The 18,070-nt window shown below is 34.9% G+C and overlaps 1 protein-coding gene across 10 annotated transcripts in view, besides 1 other annotated feature; it reads right to left on the reverse strand.

Moving 5' to 3' along the window:
- The window catches only part of NR3C2 (nuclear receptor subfamily 3 group C member 2), a 366,559-nt gene that overhangs the window by 324,975 nt on the left and 23,514 nt on the right, over window positions 1–18,070 (reverse strand). The gene's annotated exons all lie outside the window — the stretch shown is intronic.
- Window positions 16,726–16,926: a silencer, noted in NCBI's record as "peak5133 fragment used in MPRA reporter construct". NCBI's record gives its function as "represses an SCP1 promoter by STARR-seq MPRAs in K562 erythroleukemia cells {active_cell/tissue: K562}" and the evidence as "EXISTENCE:reporter gene assay evidence [ECO:0000049][PMID:32103011]".

The following is an 18,070-nucleotide window of genomic DNA, read 5'->3' on the forward strand; positions in this document are numbered from 1 at the left end:
AGTTCAAGATTCTAAAAATTATGAGCACTTTTTCACATTTCCTCTGATAACTAGTTTATGTTTTAAATGAAGGTATGTTTTTGGAAGTAATACCAAAAGTTTTCAAGTTCCCATTTATGTACTTTCTATTTTAAACATACTAGGAGAACTTGGATACCTAGAGATGGCAGTGATAATTTGTTAAATATGTAAAGTTTCACCTTCCACAACAAATGTTACATATGTTATTTGCCTTTTCTTTTTGATAGGTATTATCCCCATTTCTTGGATAAGGAATCTAACATGTCATAAGTTACACATTTTGCTCAGACAGAGAATCAAGTCATATTTTGAACTCAGATGTATCTGAGTTTAAAAGTCTGCTCTTCTGATGCTTTTTATTTGGAACTATTTTGTAAAGTAAAAATTCATGTCCAAGTTGGCTTCATTTCATTTCATAGATCAGGCTTAAGGCCTGGCACACCTGCATAAAATAACTGAAAACTCCAGTTTGAAAAACATTTCAAAACTGAAATTATTCACTGATTATTTATATTAGATAATATTTTTTGTTAGAACAGGATTCACTTAAAAGAAGTGTTCATCTGAATAAACTTGAATTATGACATGTGGAACAAAAGAAGAATAAAAATACATTTATTAATTAAATGTGGTACACTAATAGTCAAAATTTTGTTACAGGTCAAAGACCATTCTAAGGTTTCCAGAGTCTTTATTGTGTTGTTTGTTTTTTGGGGGGAGTCTAGAGCAGGGACACGTTATCTGTGCACAAAAATGCAAACAAAATATTTTAGGTCTCCTCATAAGCATAAGTATAATGCTAGTGTAATGCTCTGTTAATTTCAAGCAATCACTTCCCAGCACTTATGATCTACCATCTCATTTAGAAATTAAAATTCAAACTAATAAACATGGATCTTGATGAATTTTTTGGAAGCAAAATGATAAAATGATTTTAAAACATAATATCAAAGCACAAGAAAACAATAAAAAAGGAGGAAATGTACTTAGGGGCATACTTTCGGCAATGATGAAAATCTATGTAATGTTTTTAATTTACATTCACAATTTATTTGTAATATTTGCCTCTGAGAATGTTACCTGAAGGAAAAAATTATAATCAAATTTAACTGACTTAAAATAACCAGAAATAAAAGCATAAATTTAGGAGAATCTTCAAAGCTTATAAACTTCAATGCATGTGGAGAATTAGATGGTTCCAAACTCATGTATTAGATGTTTACCAAATTATGTCAGTATACAAAGTTACTGAACTATTAAATTTCAAATACTTTATATTCTTGAAGATTAATTTCTAGAAAGATTTTGGTGTTAAAATTGTCTTCTGCTCACATAACATCCAAAAAATCCAAAATAAACTTATTTTTCTTAAAGAAGAGCCAATCGATGGAAATAGATCATAACAATGACAATTTGACATGTTATATGTCTTTGTATAGAAAGATACACTAGTCTCACCATAGGGCTACACAAAAAGAGCATTGGACATAGCCATAACCCTTTTCTCTCCAACTCTCAAGGGTAAAGATATCTTGCAAATATTTTGCCAACTATGCAGATGTGCAGCATGTGTACACACACATCTCTTTCTCACACATTCCCAAGCTGGGACTAGGAAAGGGACAGTAGGTTCAAGGCATACCTGTCCACCACCAGGACCACATCACCTCTTGTTATATCCACACTACACTTGTAGGGAACGCACAAAGACTTTGCTTCTCCCTAGGGAAGGATTTCACTTTTGAAAGTTACCAAGTTGAAAAAAATTCCACTGCAACAAGGAGTAAAGAAGACTCCTTGAACTACTTATACCTGAGTTTTACCCACACTAAGAACTGGCCTATTTCCAGCCACGTTTGAGTGCTTTATACTGATAAAAACTTGAGAGACCTTTGGAATTTCAAAGCACTTTACAAAATGTAACCTCTCAGGGGAAGTTAGAGAAAATCTCCAAAGGGAAGTAACTGCTTCATACGCAAAGGGCAGGTGAACTGCTGTGGGGGACTCAGAGTCTGTCTGACGCACAGGTGCAGTGTCACTGGCCTTGCTGGCCTTGCCACTATTCTCCAACTCAGACTTCCTAAGTCTCAGTAAGGAGAGTCAACCAGGCGTAGTGGCTCACACCTGTCATTCCAGAAGTTTGGGAGGCAGAGGCAGGTGGATCACTTGAGGTCAGACGGTCAAGACCAGCCTGGGCAGCACAGCATGACTCTGTCTCTGCAAAGGGTTTTGGGTTTTTAAAAAAAAATTTTTAAATTTAGCCAGGTGCAATGGTACCTTCCTGCAGTCCCAGCTACTTGGAAGCCTGAGGCAGGAGGACTGCTTGAGCCCAGGAGACTGAGGCTGTAGTGAGTTGTGGTCACACCACTGTACTCCAGTCTGGGCAAGAGAGGGAGACTGTCTCAAAACAAAAAAACAAACAAACAAAAAAAGTGAACAAGAGGGTAACAGCACTGTCTTCATGAGGCATGCATTCTAGAAGGGAGGAGAGTTAAACAAGTAATAATAAAATAGCAGTACTAATAATAACAATATTAAAAATATACACATTTTGATGGAGAAATATGAAGAGTGGTAAGTATAGAGAAGGGGAATTTAAGGTCAGAGTTCGGAATGCCTTCTGGATGGAGCAGTTTAAGCTGATCCCTGGAGTTCTAGCCGATAGGACGCAGACGTGAGCAAGGACGTTGTGGTGGTTAGGAGGTATGGAAAGATAATTACCCCAGGCAGAGAAAACTACCCACAAGTGAGAGTATATACATACTGCTGGAAAACCTGAAGAAATTAAGCCCACTTGGAACTAAGTTGTGAGAGAGGAGGTAAGAGATGAGACAAAGAGCTCCTCAGAGCCAGGCCAGGGTCTTGCAGGCCATATTACAAGTCTGGTCTTTTTATCCTAAGAGAAATAGGAGGCCGGTAAAAGCTTTAACTAAGAATCTGACTGATAGGATCCTAAATATTTACATTTAGGAGTTTTCAAATACTAAACTCTAAGAATGTTAACATAAAACAATTCATTGCTGTCCAAGATAATTATTAAGAAAAAATCTGTTTCAATTTCTTAACCATCAGAATGTGTGGCCTAGAAAACGCAAAGTCCAGGATCAGTGTTAAAGTCTGACAGTCAATAGTTTCAGTGAGATGTGAATTTAAGCTGCGTAATTATTGGACTTACATGTTTTAGCCTAAGAAAATGTAACAGCAAGTATTAAAAATATGTCTTAATTAAATCATGACAACCATTTGCAAAGAGTTAACGTTTACAGAAGTGCCAGGCACTGCGCTAAATGTATCTGTGGGTATTATTCATTTACTCTTCACAACTACCGAGTAAATTAAGCATATTATTACAAATGGAGAAACTGAGGCTTATAGAAATTAATAACTTTTCCAAGATCAATACTAACAACTGTCCAGAGCCAGAATTCAAACCCAAGCAGTGTAATTTCAATCCAGTCACTACACAGTACTCAAAGTCACAGATTGTTAGGAAGATGGCATTTATAATACAGGAGAAATGTGGTCTAGTAACAACAGAAACCCCTGTTACATGTAGGGTTCACTTGATTGTTTTATTCAACTAAAGAAAGTCTTAAAATCAGAGTCAATGGCCGTAAGTGGTTTATAAGATTGTAAAAATGTATCTTTTTCATGTGTTTTCCCATATAAAAATAATTTTATCATGCTTCTCAAACATATAATTAGTTTTGATTGGTTTACTTTTGTGAAATTTTATTGATCCATTCATTAAACAGCTTATTCTTCAAATAAAACAGTGTTAAAGTCTGTATAAATTACCACTGAGACAGGATTTCAGTCGACTTCCAAGTATGCCAAAAAGCTTTTCTCATAGTTCTAGAATATCATTTGCAAGCATACGCACATAATGAATCTAAATGAATGTAAATCACTCAAATCTATCAGAGGCCCCCCCTTCATTAGGAATACATCCTTCTAAAGAAATTAGTTCATCATTCCATTTTTACATTAGTTAGGAGTTCTTTTAATTATTTTAGTCTTATTGAAGTACTGTAAAATGGCACATATCAATATCCTTGTCCCATCACTATTTACTACTGGAATGATGTTCAATCCTGACTTTGAACACTAATATTATTTTCTTCCAATAATATATATTAGCAAGTTAACGTAAAGAAAGTCCCGATAACCTGTTAGCATGCTCTCAGTAAAACCTTCCTGGAAGTTAAAAAAGCAACAGTTTTTAGATTAGATTTTCAGAGCACACCAAAAGCAGAAACTACACACACCCTTAGAAGAGCACTCCCTCCCACCTGCCTCCTCCGGCTATTGTGCTGAAGCAGGAGGCAACCCAACATGTGGCTGAATCAATACCCTTAGCTACAAAATAAAAAGGTTCTTTATTAGCTATCACATTTGAACTAGCAGGGGACCACTACCTCTAAGTGAATGTGTTTCAAGTTTTCATCAAAACAGAGGAAAGGGGTGTTACATGTCACAGAGGGGCCAAGCCAGGCCTCAACGAATTAGAGAAAATGATCAAAATAATTAATTATATTGATCAGTGCTAGCCAGTTATCAGGTAACTGATAAAAAACAAAAATATGTGCTAGGAACATAAACTAGATTTCCATCCTCTATTTTAAGGTGACTATAGAGGTAGGTTCTCTAAAATTCAGATATTTTATTTGTAGGATTTTCAGTAGAGTTTTATCTTGATTCCCCCACCAAGTTTTATATACCTGGAAGGCAGAGATCATTCTGTTTCTTTATACTCCACAGCATCAAACTCAGGTTTTTAAACTCATTGAAATGATCTAGTCAACCACTAAAACCTTATAATTCAAAGATACTTTCTTTTACAAAAAATGCTGAACCACATTTCTTGATGATCAACAGGTATCTTTACCAATAGGCAACCATTTTAACTATTTAATTATCTATTTATGAAAACAGACAGTAGAAAACAGAAAATAAAAGTGTTAAGAAAAAATGAAATAACCCATAATATCACCATTCAGAGAAATATTTAGTGTATTTCATCTAATTGATCTATTAATACATTTAAGACTGTGTATTTCTGCATATATAAGAAGTACTGAGATCATGCTTATATATTGTTCTATATCCTGGTTTTTTTCACTCAGTATTATAAGAAACAGCATTTTCCTGTATCTTGAAAGTTATTAGAAATATTTAAAACATCTACTAGTCCTAAATAATAGCAACATACCAAACTTTGTTGAATAATTCTCCTATTAGTTGTTGTTTTCTAGGTCTTGCTAATACTGCAATGAATTGTTGTAAATGTTTGTCCAAATTTCTCATTATTCCCCTAGGATCGTTTCCTAGAAGTGGAGATATTGGGTCAAAAGGTAAAGAAACAAGGCTCCTAGCATATTGCCAAACGGCTTTCCAGAAAGGATATCCCAGTTTAGACTGTCATTAGGAGAATATGTGCATTCTCATTTATAAAAGCAAACTATTCTAAAAATTTTGTCAATATGAAAAGCAAGGAATAGGTTTTATTGTCTTAATTATGTCTTTGATATTGAGATAAAATCTTACGTTTATTAGCCTTTTATATTTTCTCTTCTGTCTCTAAAAATTCTTGGTGTTTTTCCTTATCAAATTGAGCCATGAACTATTCAGCACCTAATTTAAATAACCCATGACTTGCCACCTTCAAGGATAGTCACATGTTCCCAAGTCTTCATCCACTAGACTTAGGCCTTATCTGTCTTGTCATAATGTTATCTTTGTCAAAACTTTTAAACCTAAACTTCACCTTTTCTGATGGACCTTTCCTTAGGTGACAGAAAGCATATTAGAAATGTTATTTTTCTTTTCCAAAGAATTAGCTACCTAAAAAATTATCTCCAATTATTAAGAATTTCCAAGTTAGTTGTTTGAAAATTGAGCATATAATAAAATGTTTATTGAAAATATATTAAAATGAAAATATATCCATATTTAAACTTCATGCAAAATATTTTTTGCCTAGCAGGTCCTTTTAACTATTATATCTCAAATAAGTTCACGGTACAATGTCCCAAAGTAGGTAATTTACTAACTCAGTCCTAAATTCTGTTTTTTAACCAGTGATTTTTCCTTAGGAATGTAAGGAAAATATACTTTATTTCTCTTCGCTAAAAATTCCCCTACACATAATTGAAAATTGGATAATTTCCCTAAAATCACAAGAGAAGGATGAATCTAAATGACATAATGTCTATAAAGTCCTTTAAACTGTGTTTTTTTAAACTACATAAATTCCAATAACTACCATTATACATGATGTTTTCTATAAAAGCTATTAAGTACGTCACATAAAAAATTAGGTACCTTTAAAAAACAATGTTTATTTTTCAATGTTTGAATTGTTAAATTCAAAAACCATGTCCAACTTTTAGAAAATATGCTAATAATCTTGTATGTACATGTAAATTTCCCATTGTTATGAAATGTAAGTTGTAATCAAATGCTATCTAAACTCAGTTCATCTCAAACCAGCTGGCTGCTTCTCACCCATACCATTCCAAGTCAAGTTAACTATGCTTTCAATGAATGAAACAGTACTTAAGTTATCTAATAATAAAGTTTTGAATACAAGTGATTAAAATGAGGCAATGGACAGAGAAGTCTCCAAGAAACTACACCATCGTCCAAGAATTAACAAATCCAGATTTTCTCAAATCTTCAGTTCACAGTATATTCCCCTTTAGATAAGCAATAACAGTAGTTTATGGGCTTCAAACTTATGGAGACTTAATTCAGGGAACTGTTAACACTACATCCTAGTTTAACTGCAGAAGCTTAAATCAAAGTTTAAAATACAGAAATAAAATTAAAATACAACCTGGTGTCTTGTGACCTATGTACAACGGCCAGGGACCTTTCACTATAACTCAAAGAAGCAGAATCCCTAAAAGAATGTATTTTTCTTACCTATCCGCAAGTTAACATGAACATCTTAGACTGAGAGGTGAAAAAAGGTCACTCCAAGCAGTGAGTATTTGTATACTGGCCATTCAGATTTCTTTCTTACCTAAAATAATTGAGGTAATAATGCTATAATTCATGTGCCCACACAGTACAAGAGTATCACACATCATTTGGCCAGGAGTAGTGACAAAAATATGCTTTACAGACTACTGTCAGGGTTCAGATACACAGAACACGTATAGTCACCAAAGACATAAGCCAAACTAAACCTTACGAGGAAACCTTAGATAATCTTCAGTACTCCGACCTTCAACTCAATGTCATCTTATACAATTTGGGAGACCTAAATTGCAGTTTCTTGCTATATTCCAACTACACATTTTTTAGTTGTAGCAAGAGCTTAATGTCTTTCATTTTGGCTGGTTGCATCAACTGCCCGTCCCCCACCCGCCCACCACCCACCACTGGCCCAAACAAAGAATCAAAGAAACTAGTTCTAGGTTCCAAACTATTTTTGTTTTGGGGCCCAGCAATTGGTAGCAAATCATCCTGGCTATAACCACATTTTGTTGTTGCTGTCACTTGGGGAAAAATTTCGAATACAGAAGAGGACAGGCAATAATATAGCATCTAACAAAATATCCATATACTTAATATTTAGATTTAAAAGATGTTAACATTTAATGAAATCCAAATCCAATTCAAATATTTTTCAAAATAAAATTAAAATATTACAGACAAGGGTAATGTGTTTGTTCCCCTGTCCCTCCCTCTCCAGGGTCAAGCACTAATTAAATTTTGCTTGATATCTTTGTTCTGTATTTTTATACTTCCATTATATGCACACATAAACAAATGGACATATTCTATGTGGTTTTAGATTTTTATATAAACGGCATCACAAGGTCTATATTGCTCGACACTGGTTTTTCTTTCTTTTTAATTCAACACAATGCTATTGAGATCTATCCTTAAACCTTCTGGACAGTGTCGTCCTACTCACATCATCTTCAGACAATGTCACATCAAAAGATACTTATGTAAGGTGCCATATGCATAGACAACCAGAGCAAGCTCTAAGATTAACTACTAAGCAGGCAAAATTTAGACTTCAGTGTTGCTAGAATAAATAGTTTTCCTTTATCTTGCTTCCTCTGCAACACATACCAAGATGAAGGAACTCCAGGCCTCCTCTTCCTCTCCTTCCACATTCTTCCCAAGTAAAGAACAAGAAAATCCACTTATAAAACTTAACGCTGCACATTTTAGGGAGACAGCATCAATTTAAAAAAGAGGGTTTCCGGGTTGGTCAGAGCTGGGCTATAACACATCCAGTTGTTGCATTTACTAATTGTGTCATCCTGGCCAAGCTACTCACCCTCTCAAAAGTGTAAGTTTCCTCATCAGCAAAGCAGGGTTATCACACCTGTCTCCTGGGGTCGCCATAGGGACTAATGCCTGGAAAGCACATCACGACTGAGACTCGGTGAACACAATAAACATCCAAGGCAGCACTGACCATTGCTGCACACAACCTCCGCTGCAGACATCAGTGGGTGGCTTTCATTCTTTGCAGGGAGGGGTGGGTGGAGCTGTGCCATTCTTACTGTTAGGAAAGCAATGTATCCCCTTAATCACTTATTTTCCTGGGACTGACTTATTCCTAAAATTACAGTGAAAATTGGTTAAATTTCAGAAGACTGAAACTATATTAGAATACATAAGTGAAGTAAAAAAAGATCAAGCTGGAATTCTAACTAGATTTTTGGCTAAGTATTCACAGTTTGGAGATTCAGATTTAGCCTTTCAATAATAAAATGCAGGCACTGTCTATTGGTAATTTAATTGGAAGAGAGATGCAGAAACAAGAGAAATGTGGAGAAGGAGTAAAAAAAAATGCTCCTTCCTTTATTAGGAACAAAAATTAGCTTCATCTAAGAGTCTTATAATGGCAACTTGAAATGTATTTTCAAAAACTCAACTGTCAGCACATTCTAGGCTTACATTCTTTTACTTATTTATATTTTCTAAAAGCACATAATTTTTATCTTTTAATCTGTGACTGAAATCTCCCTCTCTGACCCAGACCACAACACTGTGAATATGCACATACGTGCATACACAGGTGCACATGTGCGCACACACACACACACACACACCCCTTAGTTATGCTTCATCCCAAAAGGATGACTGAGTGTCCCATCACACCCCAGGTGACAAACTGTTGAGAGTTTAGAGCAGAAATACATATCACTTGAGCTTTTCCAGTCTGTGTGGCCTTGTATTTATTTTCAAAAGAAGTTTAAGACAGCAATCTCAATCTGCAATGAATAACTGATCAAAACTAGAAGCGTCCCCTATGTTATCTTTCCACACAAGCATAATATTTTCATAAATATTTGAACCTCAAAACCAAATAAGAAATAAACAGCCCCAACTTCTGTATTTTACCTAGTGTTTATTGAAAGCTTCTAAATAGCTATATAGCACTCACTCTTCGTAAGTCACAGGGTATAACTGTATTCTGTTCTTAGCCTCTTAAATATCATAGGGAATCATCCCTATCACTGTGAGGATTATTTTAGAGGATGGTGGTAGAAATGCATCATTTCCTAAAGTAACTACTATGTTTCCAAAAAATAAATTCTTTTATCCACTACTACATGAAAAGCTTTGAGACTTAAAGAAAAATAGAAATACAGCTGTAAGAATACATTGAAAAATGCCTTCATGAACTTAGAGTAGAGAGGGGTTTCTTAGGCAAGGGATATAAAGCACAAACCTTAAGCAGTAAAAATTGAAATTTTGATGACATCAAAATTTAAAGCATCTGTATGAAAAAGAACATTATAACAAAGTTAAAGCACAAGCAGTAGACTGGGAGAGCATATTTTCAACTCACATAACCAAAAGTTTAATGCGCAGATTAATACCTTTGACAAATCAATAAACAGACATTAACTCACAAGTAATATAGGTAAATAGGATATGAACAGCAATTTATAGAAGAGGAAACTCAGTCTGACAAACCTATGAAAATATGCCCAATTTTCCTGTAATGAGGAGATTCACATTTAAATTACAAATGATACACTACTTCCTACCCACAATACAAAGCGTAAGCAAGGATGTGGCAAATCAGTACCTTACACATACTGATGAGAACGTAAACTAGTACAAACATACTGGCTACTGGCAGGCATTATGCAAAGTTTATAAAATGCAAGATGTATACATTTCTTCATTACACAGAAATTCTACTTCTAATTATATATCCTAGAGAAATCTTTGCTCTTGGGTATAAGCAGACATTTACAAAATTTGTCTCTGCAGCACTACTTTTATCAGCAATAAAACTGGAAACAATCTAAATGTCCATTAATAGGGAACCAGATAAGCGATAGAATACTATCAGGCAATTACAGTAAAATAAACTACATCTAAATGTATCATCACACATAAAGCTCAAAAATCATTAGATGTTTTGCAAGGGTAAGATTCCATTTATGTAAAATTGCTAAATATACGCATACACCTATATATGCAGGATAAAAACATGGGCAGAAAATACAGATGACATTCTTGACTTGGACTGCTTCCGCAAAGACAGGGAGGAAGTGAAAAGGGTGGGGAAGGGATCCAAATCTGATTTGAACTTTGTAATATTCTGTCTCTCATTTAAAGAAAGATCTGAACCCAATGAAAAATTAACATTTGTTAACTCTGGGGAGCAAATTATGAGTACTATAATTTTGCTTTTGTTAATTAATTTAAAAATAATAAAGAGATAAATAAGGCATCATATGAAAATTCCTAACCACTGTCTAGATGATATGGCCTCTGTTCAGTTCAACTAATTCAACTTTCCAGTAGATAACTATAATCCACCTTGATTGTTACTGATCTCAAATAAATTGCATTTTGACCTTAATGTTATTTTTCAAAAAAAATACTCAAAAATTATTACCAGTTGGTCAGACTTAAATACATTAAAGACTTGTGGAAAATAATTTGTCACTTATACTGATGTTAGACGTGAGAGCTTCTGAAAGGAAATTTATGTGATAATTATTTTTCCTTTACCTTTTGCCTTATAAAATATTTAGTTTTTACTATAAAAATACTACTTAGCAATAACAGCTGAATAAATCATAAATGTAAATCTAGATAAGTCACTATTTCCATGTCCAGAGACTCCATGAATATTCAGTCAGCAGGCCAATTACAAACCATGAAGTTATTAACAGTATTAGGGTTATTAACAAAAGTATTTTTAAAACAGTTTTTCATGATATGCATAAATGCAAATCTTTAAAATATTTTGCAACTGATTTGCCTACAGAAAAATCTGTTAGGCTCAAAATTTCCAGTGATTCACCTAATACCAATTAATAAATAAAACTCCTCCTATTTACTCAGTTAACTTTGCCTTATCTCACTAAGTGAAAGGATCATTATGTAAGAACAGTGCAACTTAAAATAATAAACAGAAAAGAAAAGAAAAAGCAAAGGATTGTCGATCTAACCTAAGAACCTGAAAGAACCATTCTTACAGGATCGCAGGAACTGAAGGAGTCAAATTTCAGGCCTGATAGAATGATGGAGCAGGAGGAAAGATCATTAATATAGAGGAGAAATAAATGTTAGAAATAATGATTTTTATGTAGTATTTTTATTCTGCCCTAATAGCTCTTTAAAGTTGCTCTATTCGCTTAGGAAATAAACTATACTATGAAAAATGTATTTTATTCATCATGCTTGCTTTTCAGATTATTATAAACAAACAATTTCATTTGCTCTCAAGTGGTTTTAATAGATGTTACAACAAATGGCCCCATAACTTTAAAGAATCTAGAAGCAGGCAAAAACCTGCAAGAAAAAAAGCAGCATTCTCAGGGGGCATGTGCAGGGTCCATGCCTCCCTCCACCCGTCTGTCTAGGGCTGGTTTAGGAAGCAAGACAAATGTATCCATGAAGCCTAGATCCTAACTGAACAAAATGCTCATCAGCCCAGAACTCTCTACTTCTCTGTGAAAATGGTAGTGCCATCTGGAGGCAAAGATGATCTTGTTCTTACATGTGAGAGATTTATTACACTCTCAAATAAAATCATTACTGCTGCTCTTTTAATAATTTTTCGTCCTAGAAACAATACATTCTCATTGTAGAAAATTTGGTAAATACAAAAAGAAAAATAAACAAAGCAAGTAATCCTATTACTCATAGACAAACACCACTGATTTCGAGGCATTTTCTTCCACTAAGAAAAAAATACATGCATTTCTTCCCACTGAGAATAAAATATACACATACGTAACTGAGCAGACACAAATTCTGTCTATAGAGCTGCATATCATAATATTAAATATAAAAAATAAATTGTAATGATTTCCTATAAATTTTCTTCATAGACATAGCTGCATTTTTATATCATAATAAGAAAAAAATAAGTTTACCAAGATTTGGCTAATCGCCAATTCACTGGGAAAAAAGTTATTTAAATTTTTGTAAATTATGCTAAATTAACATCATCATACATAAATCTTTTTCCATATGTATAACAACTTCCTGATGACACACTCCTAGAAACTGGATCTTTTGAGGTATATAAAGACAATGATAATAATAATATAGCAAATACATTTATGTAGGACTTACTATGGGACAAGCACTTTTCTAAGCACTTTACATATTCTAACTAACTCAGTCCTTATAACAATACTGTTTGGTACATTCTATCATCTCCATTTTACAGATGAGAACACTGAGGCACCAAAAGGTTAATAAATAATTTGCCTAAGATCACACAGCTGATAAAGTGGTAAAACTGAGGACACCTGGCTGAAGAGTCCATGCTCTGGAATCAAGTTACACTACTTCTGATAGTGCATGCTGCCAAATTACTTGTGTCTCTTTCTACTCTCCACTGGATGCCATCCAAGAGCGATGGTCTCTATGCTCCCTATCCACCATTTGCTTTTTCTGAAAATCCAATTTAAAATGATACCAAATTGTTGCTTTCACTTCTATTTCTCTATTTAGTAGCATGATTAAACAGTTTAGAAGTTCATACACTCCATATGTATTTGCTTTTTTTTTCTTTTTTTTTGAGATGAAGTTTTGCTCTTGTTGCCCAGGCTGGAGTGCAATGGCACAATCTTGGCTCACTGCAACCTCTATCTCCTGGGTTCAAGTGATTCTCCTGCCTCAGCCTCCTGAGTAGCTGGGATAACAGGTGCCTGCCACCATGCCCAGCTAATTTTTTGTATTTTTAGTAGAGACGGGGTTTCACCATGTTGGCCAGGCTGGTCTCGAACTGCTGACCTCAGGTGATCCACCCGCCTCCGCCTCGCAAAGTGCTGGGATTACAGGCGTGAGCCACCGCACCTGGCCTGTATTTGTTTTTCTATGAGCTGCCTGTTCATGTCTTTTCCTTGTTTTTTCCCTCCTCTCTTGGAAGTCTTCATGGTCTTCTTATTGATAAGTATTAGCTCTTATTATGGAGATATCAACCTACTCATCATTTCCCAAATTTTGTCTTAATTTTGTTTGGCATATGGGAATTTTGAATTTTTATATAATCAAAATGTTCAGTGTATGTATGCATGTGTGTATGCATGCGTGCACACACGTACTTCCTTCTACCGCTCTCTTCTTATAAAGACTTATAATGACTTCTCTATCCAAGAGTCAGATATGTGTTCAACTCAGTGTTTTTCTCAATTGAGGTTCTCTTTAAACCATCTGGAAATTATCTAGTGTATGGTGTTGGCATTATATCTTAAGCATAGTGAGATTGTAAAGACTTGATACTATAGATGGTTTTATATAATATGTTTTTATCTTCATGCAGTTTTTAGACTAGATGGCAACATATGCTGACTTATTACAACAGAATTACTCAATCTGAGAGAAAGTTATAATCTAAGACACTTCTATTCTGGTTACAGGCACATCAAAAACATCTCAAACACGAAATTTATTCTTACCTTTAAAAACCCACAGAGCAAAAACTCTCATGGGCCTTTTCCCAAAACAATAATTCCAGCCCAGTGTTTAACAATAATATAAAATGAGCAGATTTTTCATAGCTGATTTAAATCCCTAACAGGGTTTCTTTTGTTTTCATTTCTGTTGTCCAAAGAAGATACTATATATTTTGCAATCACCTGCTTAACAGTGCTTATATTTGAATAGCATTATATATTTAGTGACGTTTAATGTGTGGGGAAGAGGGAGAGATTTCTGACATTTTTACTGGATTCTCAGGCTTTCCTCTAAAGCACAGGTCCCTATAATCAGAACACTAGACAACAGGGCATGATCAGTTTTGAGTTGTATGCCAAGTAATTTGTTAATAATATTGATGTTTGTGAATGACATACTGTTAAAACAGAAACACAGGAAGGGTCCATGATTCTTCCTATAATAAAGCCACTCTCGTTTACATTCTGATGGTGTTCACAAGTGAGAAAAGAGGCGGAGATGAAAACCATCACAGTACATCACTGTGCAGCCTATCTTATCTATGTTATAGTCCATAATAAGCAATTCTTACTGAGTCATATTTCTATGCTGAGTATTGATTTTTATGAATATCACAAAAACAAAACTTGTGCTATTTGCTTTACTGCCCACACACACATACCCACACAATGCTTTTCAATCAAACCACCATGGAGCATGTGATATATGTAAATGTTAATCTTCATTTGTATTGCTCTAAAAAAAGAGTTTAAAAATCACTAAGATATCTTCATGATAATCTCTATTTTTGAAGTTCAGAGAATACAGTTCTCAATTAAGTTCTCACAAAGAACTAGAAGAATTTCCTCTCTCTACAATAATGTTAGAGGTTGAATTTATTAATACTACATTGTTAATTCATTTCAAAATGGAATCTCTTAGGTCATACTCTCATATGAGTAATTATTTACCCATTGTAGTTCCTATTTGTTCCTATTCCTCTATTTCAATTTTAATTGAAACTAATAACAATCAACAATAATAAGAACTAAGATTTGTATTGAGCACTCTCTACATGCCAGTACTTTACATAGATTAGCTCAGAAAATTTCCCAATAGCATAGGAGGAAGGACTGTTAGTGTCACTATTTTACAGAGGTGGAAGGAAACTCATTCTTAGAGAGGATAGGTAACTTGCTCAAGGCCATATGATGAGCAAGTGGAAGTATGACCTAAAAGCTGGCTTTCCACTCTTCTACATGTTCATTTCTTACATATTCTCCCATTTACCAAGATTACTCTGACTCCTGATAATATCCTCCCTAGAGGATGCTATCTCTTTACCTGCCAACATCTACACACTCTTTAACCCTCATCTTTTTCAAATGTATCTCTAGCCTGTTTACATGGGTCACCCTGCATTCTCTATTTCACGGTTGTTTTTCCTTTTTTTTTTTCTTTTTGTCTGGCTAGCCATCTTGCATAAATATTTACCACATGTTATGAGATGTAAACAAATGCATAACATAGCATCACTGGTGAACAAACAACTCAAATTGCATTTTCAACTATAAATGTTCTATTGGTAGTGGATCACAATGGTCCTCTTCCTGCTACGTAGTTATATTTTAACAACAACCAAGAGAAAGAGTTCTTAATCTGGGGCTCATGGGTTCATGAAATGGTTGGCGAAGGAAGGGCCCACGAATCTTCTGAAGCTATAAGCAAAATTACATGTGCAAGTATGTATAGCGTCCTGGTGAGCAGGTATAAATTTGTTAGTAATTCTCCCATATTCAGAAAAGATTATTTGCATCGAGAATGGCACAGGCCCTCAGTGAAAAGGCCAAAGAAGACATGATATAAAATACTTCTTACGTACTCTTAGGTGGATAATGATAATGAGCTGGATAGTCTAGAGCCATATTTATTCGTGGGACCAATTTAATGAGCTTTTTAGAATAATATTAATGGCAACATTCTTTACATATCAGTGACTGATGATCAATCTGCAGTGTACTGTTTTGGAAAACATTCTGATTACCATTAATTTTTCTCATTATTAAAGCATCTGTAAATGTACTTTGTAAAAGAAACTATCAGATCCTTCCTCCCAAAAACATGTTGCTTTTGCCCTTTCCAATCATTAATTTTCTGTTCTCCACCAGCTCACAATATTACCAGACAGTTCATTTCAATAATAATTAAGTCTTACTAATGATAATGCTTAGAAAAGCAATGTGACCAACCTATTTAAATAGGGAATAATTAATCAATGACTGTATGATCAGTTTTTGAAACTGATGTAGGGTACAGTTTTTGTTTGGCCAGACCCTTTGAAGACACATCTTCCTGTGTTCTTAGTACATGGGGTTGGGTGAGACCAAACCCCCACCACCTACATGCATACACGTCCACTCACGTGAGCACACAAGCAACACCCCTACTTAAGGCTGGATGAGTGACCCAAGCCAGATCAATCAGAATCTGTCGAGAAAGGTTATTCCTTTTAACCTGAACAACGAATGAAAATAAAAGCCCAGAGTGACGCTGGCCAGAAAATATAACTGAATAAAAAAAGTAAAGCCCTAGTAGATGCAGACAAAGAAACTATAGGATGACACCATTCGAAACCTAGGATCTAACCAAGCCTGAGGTGTACTTCCTGAATTCCCATTTGTTTAAGCCAAGAGATTCTATTTTCTTTAAGCTAATATGAGACGGGTCCTTGTGCTGTTTGCAAACCAAGAGTACTGACTAATCATATTACATTCACTTATAACTATCACATAATTTTATTAACGAAATTAGTATTTAATTTCTAACTGTTCCCTCCCTATGTTCTCAAAACATTATTTGGTACCTCCAGAATAACACCTACCACAACCTACTTTGTAACCGGATCTTGAATGTTATCTAGATTGGGTGTTCCTAAAAGTGAGGACTTCCTCATTTTCCACTCTGACCACATACCCAGTGACATAGTTTGGATCTCTGTCCCCACCCAAACCTCATGTCAAACTGTAATCCCCAATGTTGGAGATGGGAGCCTGGTGGGAGGGGATTGAATCACAGGGGTGAATCCTTCATGAATGGTTTAGCACCATTCCCTTGCTGCTGTCTTGTGATAGGGTTCTCATGAGATCTGGTTATTCAAAAGTGTGTAGCAGCTCCCCACTCCTTCTCTTGCTCCTGCTCCAACCATGTAAAATGCCTGGCTCCCCTTTCACCTTCCACCATGGCTGCAAGTTTCCTGAGGCCTCCTCAGAAGCCGAGCAGATGCCTCCATGCTTCCTGTACAGCCTGCAGAAGTACGAGCCAATTACCTTTCTTTATAGATTACCTAGTTTCAGATATTTCTTTACAGCAATACAAGAACAGACTAATACACCCAGGACTAGGCTTTGACCAAGTCAAGTGTTTATATAAATGCTTGCTGAAAGAAAATCAGTACTGAACAGAGCACATATATGACACTATACTTATTAGACAATGTAGCACCTCCCTATTTTTAGGACTCAACTACCTTTTTTATAATAAAATATACATAAAATTTGCCATATTCACCATTAAGTTAAGTGGCATTAAGCACTTTCACACTGTTGTACAACCATCACCACCATCCATCTTCAGAACTCTTTTTGGATTAAGTGCTTTTAATGTGCACTGTTGTTTGTTATAGGTTACAGGGAGTTTACTGAGTAGAACTGGTATTTCACATAGCAGTGTATTCGTCTCTTTAAAATGTCCATGTTTTCTGTCTTAATATAGTCTTTCTTTCTTCTCTTAGGCAAGGCCCAGGGAAGGGCACTCCCCTTTTAAAGACGAGTAACTGAAATATCAAAAGTATCACAACATTCTAAGAATAAGTATGATGAGAAAACATTTATCATTCTTCATGGATTCAACGCCTGGAAATAACTCAGCTTGGTTAATATCAGTGACATTTCTGGAGGATACTGACAATGTACTGACTCTGACAGTCATGGACATCTAGCCATTTTCCCCATTAATTTTAACTTGTTTTATGTCTAGTTTCATTAAAACTCTCAGAATACTAGATGTATTTATTCCCGCTACAGTAAAATTGGCAAGAATTTAACTTTTTAAAAAAGCATACTTCAGCATTATGAAATCACAGAGGCTAGGCCATGTTCAC

The sequence above is a fragment of the Homo sapiens genome, chromosome 4 (genome assembly GCF_000001405.40).
Source record: "Homo sapiens chromosome 4, GRCh38.p14 Primary Assembly".
Taxonomy (NCBI): domain Eukaryota; kingdom Metazoa; phylum Chordata; class Mammalia; order Primates; family Hominidae; genus Homo; species Homo sapiens.